At 39.1% G+C, this 11,502-nt stretch overlaps 1 protein-coding gene across 12 annotated transcripts in view; it reads left to right on the top strand.

The window, feature by feature from the left end:
• Positions 1 to 11,502, top strand: part of HIVEP2 (HIVEP zinc finger 2) — a 194,265-nt gene that overhangs the window by 44,312 nt on the left and 138,451 nt on the right. The gene's annotated exons all lie outside the window — the stretch shown is intronic.

The following is an 11,502-nucleotide window of genomic DNA, read 5'->3' as shown; positions in this document are numbered from 1 at the left end:
AAAAGCGTTCTAGATATGATTTTGATTCTTGAAACCTATTTGAAAAATAGTAATCAGAATATAAATAATCTTTAGGTTTATCATATCAGAGAAAATACTTACTGGTTATGCGACGTTTTATGTGTTTCACAGCATATTTATTAGCTATGAATTGATTTGTACTTTGCATTTCTCATAAACTCCCCTAGATGTGATAAGGTCACAAATTTTCTCTGTTAAAAAGGGCAGGAGTGGGGAAAACTCACACATCATGTATGCACTCAAGTTTTGACATATTGATTTACAAAGAAAAGAATCAGTTTGCTAGCAGCTTCTATGAGGTAATTTTATAAGGAGTAAAAAAATATAAATAGAGTTCACGCAGAATACGAAGATGAGCAACGGAAAATCTGAAATAAAAGTGGAGTTAATATTATGCAGTGATTCTTACCTCTGCTGTTAGAAGTATAAAAGCACTGTGATCCTTCCATCTAAACTACAGAGGTTTCAGCTCCATGGCAACACGAAGAACCTATTCTGTCAGAGGGTGTGTATACACAACTGCATTCAAAGCACGGGGCTGGGAGTGAGTTTGGGGGGAAAAACCTCAACCCTCCAAGACTTGCCCACGCATTTTTATGTGTGTATTATAATAAGGTCTTTGTGCAAGGAGGCCTGATAGAAGTTCACATCAGCTGCACTCTGGTCTTTTACATGATCCAGCCGCCATCACCCACCTCCCTTCTCTCTCCAGAAAGGAAGCCAGAAGAGGCAATTAAAGAATGAGACTGCAAGAAAAATGCTCTTCTCCCTCTCTCTTCTTGGAATGTCAACATAGTTATTGCTTTTCTGTGTGTCTCAGGGGGGCACTTGGCTGCTTCTTTCCACAGTCTTATTCCAGGGAGAGCTGTTTAATTGCAGCCTTCATGTAGAGTAGGCGCTGGCAAGAGCCGTAGTCAGCTTTCTTCTCTGTGCAAGGAGTACTTTCGGTAGGTCATCTGATGTCCTGCCTTGTACTTAAATACCGTGTGGCCCAGGGTGGTGAGGTGGCGTGGAGTGATTGGTGAAGTGGGTATTCCTGCCTACAGTTTCTCAGCCCCTCACTCAACTCTCAGACGTCAAGTTTCTTCTCTCACTGTGCTTTGCAGCCATACTCATCTTTGTCAATTTCCCCAGTCCTTTGTTTAGTTTCTTCATTCAAAAGTGACAGCATCACCACTTGACTATTGATTTGCCCACGTTCCTGTCCTGCATCTTAGAAATGAGAGCACAATCTGAAAAACGTTTATTTTTGCTCTGTTCCACTTTAGCCAATCCAGGAGATACATGGAATATTCTGCTCTATCCTGAGAATCATCTCTATTAAGGTTTAGACCTTTTATTAAGATTTATTGTTAACATTATATTAAGGTTTAGACCTTATATTAAGGTTTATTAAGGTTTAGACCTTAATAGATTTCTCTCCACTAAGAATCATCTCTATTAAGGTTTAGACCATTTTTATTTCACCAAAAACTTGAGGTTGAGTATCAGTGATTCTCTCCACTAGGTTCAGAGACTAGGGATCCAGGAAATAGGCTATTAAATACAGATCTTCACCCTTTTCCTTTCACCTCTGTACTTAACCCCTGCCCAGGATCAGAGATGGCTGCGGTGGTGGTAGGAGAAGATTATTGATGAGAGGCCTGGGAGAGGAGGATGCTATGTTCCTGCAGACACTTACACAACAGCTAAATGTTGTTTTCAGCCTTACACTTTGAGCTGCACTCTCGTAGAGTTTACAAAGATAAATGATCTATTCTTGCCTCATTGTTTCTGCCTGGTTCATTCTCTTGGGATTTGCTTTTAAAATAAATTATTTGCAACTAAGATTATGTGTACACATACAATTGGTTTCATTTACTAATTCACTTGTTCAAGTATTGTTGACTATTGCGTGTGGGCCTGAGCATGCAATAAAGAGCAGGCATGTGTCCCCAAGGAGCTAATGGTCTAGAAGTGAAGGCTGCAGTCTGTAAAAAAACTGCAATACATTATGAAAGGGCTGTAAGAGAAGGATGCACAAAGCTTAGCTGTGACATGAAAGCAATGCAGCAGCTTTACTTGAGAGGCTTGACAGAGGACTAAGTGCTTGAGCTGCCTCTTGCAGGATGGGTGGGAATTTGCCTGGTTGACAGCATGGGAAAGGGCATTCCAGGAAGATAAAGCCTTAGCAAAAAAGGATCCAGAGACCTGGAAATAGAGAGATGCATTTGTGAGCAGTAAATCTTCACATGGCAGGATTACAAAGTGGGAGGAGGAGTAGAGTCACAAAGGAAGGATCTGGAGAGCTTGGCCACGACCAGGTCAAGGAGGGTATGCCATGCTGCTATGTTTGAACTCTGTCCTGCAGGCAAGACAGGGGACATATTCCGATTAGCATTTTACAAATATCTCTCAGGCAGCCTCACAAGAATGATACAGAGGAAGCCAAGCCCGGATTTGGGAGACATGGTGTGCAGACAATTACAGTAATATTCAAGCGAAAAAACAATGAAAGCCTGAATTAATGCTGCGATATTTAGAATAGTGAGCACAGGATGGACTGTCAAACTTAGCACACAGTACTTAGTGGCTGAGTCAGTGTGAAGGGTGAGGGAAATTGAAGGCAATTCCCAGGACTGCAGCTTGGGTGACAAAGTGGGTAGTGATGATATTGCTCAGGATAAGGAAGATGAGCAGGCCTTTGAGAAAAGTAGTGACCTACATTTCATTTTTTAATTTTAATTTTAATTCATTTATTTATTGAGATGGAGTTTCACTCTGTCGCCCAGGCTGGAGTGCAGTAGTGTGACCTCACTGCAACCTCCACCTCCTGAGATCAAGTGATTCTCCTGCCTCAGCCTCCTGAGTAGCTGGGATGACAGGCGTGCACCACCACACCTGGCTAATTTTTTTATTTTTAGTAGAGATGGGGTTTTGCCATGTTGGCCAGGCTGGTCTTGAACTCCTGACCTCAGGTGATTTGCCCGCCTCGGCCTCCCAAAATGTTGGGATTACAGGTGTGAGCCACTGCGCGCGGCCTGTGTGACCTACATTTTAGATTTATTGTATCTGTGGTCATGTGTGGTCTGTGGAAAGATCCTTGGCTTTGGGATAAGAAAGACCTGAGTTTCAATTTTACTTCTCCAGTTTATCACCTGTGCATTCTTAGGTAAACCTCTGGGATCCTTGATTTCCTGGTCTGTAAAGTGAGGGTAATAATTAGTAACATGCAGGCTGTTTGTGATAGGTAAAGCTCCAGACTCAAAGCCAGTTCCAAATAAAGGGTAGGTTGTTATCACTGCAGTGTCTATAGGCAGAGATCAAGACCTGGAGCCCAGGGAAGAGGCTGAAAATGCAGACTTCAGCATCAAGAGCATAAAAGAGACCAAAATCAGTGGGGCTGAGGTGCCATGCTCGTTCACTCATCCAGAATCATTTGTTGAGAGCAGGTGTGTACTAAGCTCTGTATAGGAAGTAGGGAAGCCGAGATAGACAAGGATTAGTCCCTGGCCTCAGGATCTTAGCATCTATAGAGTGAGACAGAGAAGGAGGTCAAGAGTGTTTTGAATAAGAGGTGGCTCAAGGATGAATCAGTATATCCAGATTTTAAAATTGTGTAATATAATATATATACAGAAAAGGATGTAGACAGTTTGATGGATTTTCACCATTTGAACATTATCAGCATTCTGAGAGCACATCTCTTGCCCTTTTCCAGTTATGTTAGAACCCAAGGGTAACTGCTGTAACTGTTAACACCATATCTATTACTTTTGCCTGCTTTTGTCCTTTATGTATATGGAATCATATGCTCTGCGTCATGTGTGTGTGTCTGACTTATTTCACTCCATGGTATGTCAGTGAGATTTGTTCATGTGTAACAATCATCCATTCTCATTACTGTATTGAATTCCATCCTATGAATGTGCTATAATCTCTTCGTTCTACCATTGATGAATTTGGATTACTTTTGGCTTTGGCTCTTACAAATAGTGCTTCTATGAATATTATGGTACATCTCTGCAGATGCAGCCCTAGGGGTGGAGTCGCTACATCATGGGGCTTGCATGAATTCCACTTTAGTAGTTATTACCGCGTGCCTTTTTAAAGCAGGTATGCCAATTTGTGCCCCTTCTAACATGCATGAGGGTCCTAACTGTCCTCAACCTGCTGTAGTATTTTCATCTTTTGCATTTTGGCCATTCTGATGGCTATGTAGTGGTGTACCTTATAGTTTTAATTTTTATTTCTCTGGTGGTTAACAAAGTTGAGCCCCTTTTCCTATTTTTTTTGGCTGTTGTATATTCTCTTTTTATAAAGTGGCTGCTGAACTATGTTTCCACCTTTCTATTGGGCTTTCTCTATTTTCAGCATCAATATTGAAACAATGAGAATTATTATTGAGGGCCTATCTGGAACTATGTTTGTGGAGGTAGAGAAGAGAACAATATAGTCATACTCTGTACCTCAAGAAAGCTTGGCTGTGTGTAGGAGGAGTGAGATGATAGAATAAGAGGTAAGACCCAGAAAGCATTTCTGCATCATTGTGAACCTGTTTATATGTGCTGACCAAGTAGAGCCATTGGAGAGGGAAATGTAGATGATATAGAGGAAAGATGATAATTGAGCAGAATCCTGGAGCAGCTAGAGTGCTTTGAGCACCAGAAAGGACTGATTGGGGCAGAAGGAGGTATACTACTAAGTTTATGGGTAGAAACTGTGCATTAAACATAATTTTCTTTGAAAAATTCATTATTTTATTGTTTTTTCTTTTTTGTGAAGTGAAAGGCAAATTTATTTATCTGGAAAAACTGGATAATATTGACAAAAATGGGGAACACTTGGAATTGTCTCTGAAGGAAATGGCAGAGAGTGCTGAGCAGAGCATCCTGGAATGAGAGGCCGACATTCAGAGGGCTCCACAGAAGTAGCCCAGCCTGTGAAATTGGTGCTTTTTCTCAGCCCCTCTAGATTACATAGGGACCGAAAAACCAGTGAACCAAATTGAGTGTTTTTTAGGATGGGTATGAAGGACAAGGTATCAGATGAGTTGGGATGCTGGCAAGACAAAGGGCAAAGTGGTTCACAGTGGAATTCAGAGACAATAGTGAAAGAAACCCAGAGCAGGAGGAGGAGGAAGATGGTGAACTGCTGGAATTGAGGAACTGGGTGTCTCCATAAGGTTGAAGAACAAACACTAAGTGTGAAGATTAGGAAGGTAGGTGATGTGACACAATTGACTATATTAGCCTCTCTTAGAGACCCACATATAGTAATCTGAACTTCCTGTCAGGTTTTATGGACAATAATCAAACATTTCAGCAAGTGACATCTCAAAAAAGGTCACATTCTAAGTTTTAGCTTATCTCTTGCATTGTTAGTAATTAAATAATTTCTATTAAATGAAAACTTCTGATGAAGTTTTATTTGAATGTTTTTCTCTAACATCGGCCATTAATTGGTTCAATAAGGTAGTTTTTAATAATGAAGGTTAATTGAGGGATGCAAATGGTCAGGTTTTATATGAAAATGAAACACCAAAAATAAAAATCTATTGCTTCGGTAAACTCAAATGAAACAGGTTGGGTGCATTTCCTAAGCCATTCATTATCTTTGGAGGCCTGGTTTGATCCACTCTCTATTCTCTAGTTGTGTTTCCTGGCTGCTACACATTGAAATAAATAATACAGTGTGTTAAAATCTTTGGTTTAAATTTAGCACATAAAATGCCCCATATTGTGTGACACTCTCAGCTGAAGTCTAGAGAGTGAAGTTTATGTTTTTATAAAACTAGCACATACACACTGCTAAATGAAAAAGGCTTCAATGGAAGAACCACTTACAGGAATCAGCAGACTGAAAATCTTATGATTTATCCCAGTATGTAGAGAATTCACCTTGGCAACTTGCTGAAAAAATGTAGATTTGGAGCCCCAGCCCTGGAGATAATGATGTGGATTGCCCATAGACTCAACTTTGAGGAACCTACTCTTAAGCATCTAGTTTTGGAAGATTGCTATACATACCATCCTACATCATTTGACCAGGAAGGAAAAAAAGATGAGAAAATAAGATGAAGGCAAGAAAAGAGACAAAAATTTAAGTCCTGAAAAAAACATTTCTACCAGATTTTTATTGTTTAAAAAAAACCAAAATTTCAGTGGATGCTAGATAGAATCACAACTGTAAGACAAAACAGAAAACAATGTGAAGTGTACAAGACTGCACAGAAAACATATCAAGATACTGTTCAAGAAGAGGTAACTGGCTATAAATTTAAAGTTCAAGTGTTAAAGTTAAAATGTAGCTCTAAGTTTTATTTTCCCAACAACTTTTAAAATTGTAATGTGATGGATGTGCTACTTGTGATATTTTTGGTCATGGAGCAGGACTGTTATAAACAATTAAATTGGTTTACTTAATTTTTCTCCTGAATACCAATTCGTGCCAGTGAATTATCAAGGCGACTTTCAATTTCCAAGATGATTTTCTACTGGTCCCAGCGTTGTTGTGAAGATGAATTAAGGTCTGAGGACAGTGTCTGGCATATTATCAGTGGGGACAGTGTAGTGGAGTGGTTCTGAACACATGCTGTGGATGCCGGAGACCCTGCGTTCAAATGACTGCTCTACCACTAACTAGCTCTATGCCCTTGTCCAAGTTAACTTGATTTAGTTTCCTCATCTGTAAAATAAAAAAAAATTAGTGCCTACCCATAGAATTGTTTTCCAGGAATAAAGTAGTAAATGTAAAGCACTTGGAGCACTGCAAGACACGCTGGACACTCAATAAATGTGATCTTGAAACATAACTTCTGTTGTCAAGTTCACTGTTAAAAGTACCTTAAAGTTTTTAAAAATTATTATGTAAAATAGGGACATATAATTTTATAAAGTTACAGTTGTCTTGAGCTTTATTCAGTTTAATTTATGGATCATCTACTTTTAAGTGCCATAAGGTACTCCAGGCTATAAAATGATGAGTAAGATATGGCCCCTGTGCTCTTGAACAGTCAAACTTTGGGAAGTTAACCTGTTGACATGGTTTTCTTGAGTAGGTATTATGCTATGTTAGGAAATAATGTTGAAATTAATTAAAACTATATTTTACAACACAAGTAAAAGATAGTACCTGAAAGACAGAAGGAGAGGCTAATAATATATCGTCCCTTGATATATTATAGATTGTAGCAGATCACACTAGAAAGATGCTGATATTTTTCCTGAGCTGGACTTAATACAATGGATGGAACACAGATATGACATCATAAAACCCAGCTATTAAAATGGCAACTCTACTATTTATTGATTATATAACTATAAGCAATAGACTTAACTTGTGCCTCAGTTTCAGCATCTGAGAAACAGGCACATAGCTACCTTGCTCAGTTGTTAGGATGATTAAGTGAGCGAATGTTTGTGAAGATGCTTTATGAACTATAAGCTTTTACGCATTTGTGTGGCTTTATCATGATTATGTAATATGGGGCTTGTGGATTTCTGAAGAGCCATGGCTCAGAAATGAACCCTTAGAATAATATATTTTAAATAGGTTTACAGAGAACTTTATCATTCTCTGTAGAATTACCTATAAACCAATAATGGATGGATAACATGCTGCAGAGATTAGGCTTCCCTCCCCCCGAAAAATGCAGGTGAAACAGGTTAAGAGGTTACACACTGACTTTAGGGCAGAGTTAACAAGTTGTAGAATAGAACTGGATAGAATAGAGGGTTGTTCCCACTGCTCTTCATGCCATTTCTCTGGCTATTTCTTGATTGAGAGAAAGGAGTATGGGCTTTGAAGTCAGACCTAAATTAAAGTCGCTGTCCTGTCACTTGCTAGTTGTAATTTGGGCAAGATACTAAACCTTTGTAAATTTCAGTTCCCTCATCTGCAAAGGGGAGTCAGATCACTTGCCTGGCAAAATTGTGATCACCAGAGATAGTATCTGTACAGTACCTGCTTGATAATTAGCTGTTACGTGATTTTTCTTATGATTATAGATTATCAAATTTTTCAAGGGAAATTGAATTGCACACTTGCCGCATTAGGAATACTAATGCAACTGATAAGAGCAATTGTTTTACTGTGGGGTTTCTTCGTGCTAGGCACCATTCCAAATATATTACACATATGATGACCTCATTTACTCTCTAAACAACCTGATCATGTAGATACTACTGTTATTCCCACTGAGGCTCAGGGAGTGTATCCACCTTGCCCAACGTCACCCAGCAAGTTTGTGGTGGAAAAGGTTTACAAACCTGGGTGTTTGTGACTCCAGGTCCCACTTTCCAGTTCCTGCCTGGCCAATATAGGGATGTGGGATAGAGAATGAAAGGACTAATTGTTTCATGAGAATGATTTATTGAGTGGGATATTTGCTTTCGGAATCTTCACCTTTCCCATAGACATTATTGGAAGGGGCTTGCACCCATCCGTCATGTAACTTTTGCTCTATGTTACGAAGCCTCGCCGAGCTCCACTTTCCTTTTTGGTACGATGGAATGATTATACTTCTGAGAGTTGTAGCGAGCATTTAAGTGGGATGATAACTGTAGAGCTCAGTCCTGGAAGTCATTTCCATCTGTAATCTTGACTCCCCATTCCCTTACGTAGGAGGCTTGCACTAAGGACAGAGCCTTGGGGGAATGCCTGCTGTCTTCACATTTTACACCAACAGAATTGTGTGTTATTCAGTATTGCCTTGTATTAAGCCATTGATGTTATATCACAGGATATATGATTGATCCCTTTGAAAGGTCATTAAAATATTTGCTCACATGTCTTCTCGTTTATCTATTATAAGCATTTATAGACTTTGTTTAATGAAGATAGACCAATCACTTCTGTCTTATCATTAATTTGCATCCTGTGTCTGGACATGTGTACTTAGAACACAGTCCCTTTAAGAACCACTAGCCATCAGCAAAAATAACCTAGAGCAGCTCAGGTTACTGCCAGGCTCCAAAGACTCTTGGGGGGTCAGGTTGCTTATTTCTCTGGCACCTCCGCCGGGATGTAGGAAGAGCTTTATCCATGCCAGCAGAGGGTATGTGTGGATTTGTGCACATGAGTCCCTACTTTTAGCCAGGTGCCCTTAGACATGACTTCTTTTGGACTTGCCCCTTCTTTATGGTGGAAATGTTCTTAGTTGGGCCACTTAAATTGTTTAAAATCTGTTGTGACCCTGTTCCTGGACCTGGGTGCAAGAGCCTGTCTTTCCTATCACCCTTGGGTTTTGTACTATTTCTTTAAAAAATAAAAATGTAAAAGATATCAAAACCCATCAACACAGACAAGCATCTCCTATCCCCAAAGTGAAAGTGCAGTAGGCAGCGCAGTGAGGCCAGGCCAGGTGAGGGCACACCCCTTTCCCTGGGACCCCTGTGCCTGCATGTGTCAGCTAGCCTTTCTTCTAGGGAATGTTTTTACTGGCTGGACATAGCTAAAAGATCAAAGAATAAATGGGACATAAACAGGGCCTAAGGCTCTATAAAGATAAACAAACAAACAGAATGAACTCCTTAATGAAGTCCAGTTTTTCGATTGTGGAGAAACAGATATTGTTAAGAGGGATTACAGTGTTTGAGAGAGGACAAAGAACCAGCAAGGACTTAGACCATCGGGGGCCGTGTCTCAGCGATGTTGCCGAATTAGCTGAATTGCAGAATAAGAGTTTTAAAAGCTAGGTGGTATCTGTGAGTGACTCAAAGTCTCTCATTTTACACAGGAGGGCAAGGCCCAGGGAGGTTGGGTGACTTATTTGAAGTTACTCAACTGGGTGATAGTAGATCTCGATCCATAGCCCAGGTGCACAGATCATTCATCTCCATAACCCTGCAAAGACACAGTCAAGAGTTGAGATCTTTCCAAAACCCAGTTTCCTTATCTATAAATGGTGATTGTCCTACCTGGCATACCCTATCTGTAAGGATCTGCTAAGTGAGTGTGGGTGAGAACACTTTTTAAAATTATTAAATTATATATTAATATTAATATTAAATTATATATAAACATACATATGTATGATGAGATAGATGTACAGTGTAATACCTAGTATTTTGCTAAAATTCTTGATGTGGGAATACATGAACACAATCTGGGTTCTCCTTTGGAAATGAGAAACAGTAGGAAATTCCTTGAGTACAAGAACAGGAGTTCTAGACTTCGAGTTATTAATCTGATGGTTTTACTTACTGATGTTGTTATTAGTTTACTTTTCTGCAAAGTGGAAATACTAAAATCCTCAACCTATCTTGGAGTTGTCCCGAAGAGAACTTTAAGCATGTAAGTGAAAGTGCTTTGTGAACTGAAAAGCAAACAACAAAAGTGAACTATTTTTACCAAATACTTTTGAAAACTGCAGACCCTATCTTTACAGCACAGGTATAATTAAGGAGAACAGGCCATATATACAAAAGCATATTTCAGCATTCTATGACCTTGATGTCAGATAAAAACTACACCACCGGTAATGACTAATATTACAGTTTACAAATGGAAGTGTAATCATCCTTATAATTATTTTAAAATTGATCTTTCCCTCTAGACATTTATACAGATTGTCAAGACAGATACCTGGTGTTTTTCATATTTATGGGACATTATTTTCTGTAGTAATATACAAGATAGAGATTTAAGTGTTTTTTGTATTACTTTCTCAGTTACACTATTTGCACTAATATTTATATGTCTGATTTATCTCATTAGATTATTATATTAATAGGATATTTAGGAGTTGCAGTTAGTATTATCATTATTTGACAGATAGGAGGTCAGGTGATTTTTCCAAACCTCATAGAATGTTAATGGCAGAGCTGAGATTTGAAGCAAGCTCTTTTGGTCCAGATCCTGTGCACTTGCCACTCTGATCCATCTCTCTGTGTTGTGCTGGGGATTCCATTCTGTGGACTGTATTCTTCATTCATTTCTTTGGCAGTAATTCTTTCAAAATGTGTACAGGGAAATGAAGCAAGATCGTTTCTACCTTCAATGAATTTAGAGTGTTAGAAGGAATGCAGAGCAAGTGCACGAATATGTGAAGAAGTACACGCAATAAAAGCTGAATTGCGTTAACTTTGTAAAGATACAAAGTTTTGGAGGAGCTTATTTGAGGAAGATTCTCTATGGAACTCTGTTATCTGATCTTCTCACACTTTCATGGATAAATTTCTTAAATAGAATGGATTGTTTTACTGATGTAGAGCCCCTTCTACTAGTGTTAGAGCTAATTTGCAAAGGGAGTGAAAAATATAGGCATTTAGGTCTGATTTCTTTAACAGAGCAGGCAATGTTGAATTAACAAAAATGAAGACATAGATAGACCCTAATTAACACTGGCACTTGAATCCTTGTAAACAAGACTGATTTTGGGGAAAGGGGAAATGATAGACACTTAAAGGGTGCTCCATTGATGTCAGGGCTAATTTGGTCTGTGCTGTCCAGTGCTGTAGCCACCCAGACTCATGAGGTTATCTAAATTTAAATTAATTA

The sequence above is a fragment of the Homo sapiens genome, chromosome 6, assembly GCF_000001405.40.
Source record: "Homo sapiens chromosome 6, GRCh38.p14 Primary Assembly".
Classification (NCBI taxonomy): domain Eukaryota; kingdom Metazoa; phylum Chordata; class Mammalia; order Primates; family Hominidae; genus Homo; species Homo sapiens.
Note: the sequence above shows the minus strand (reverse complement) of the source record. Positions and strands in the feature narration are given on the sequence as shown.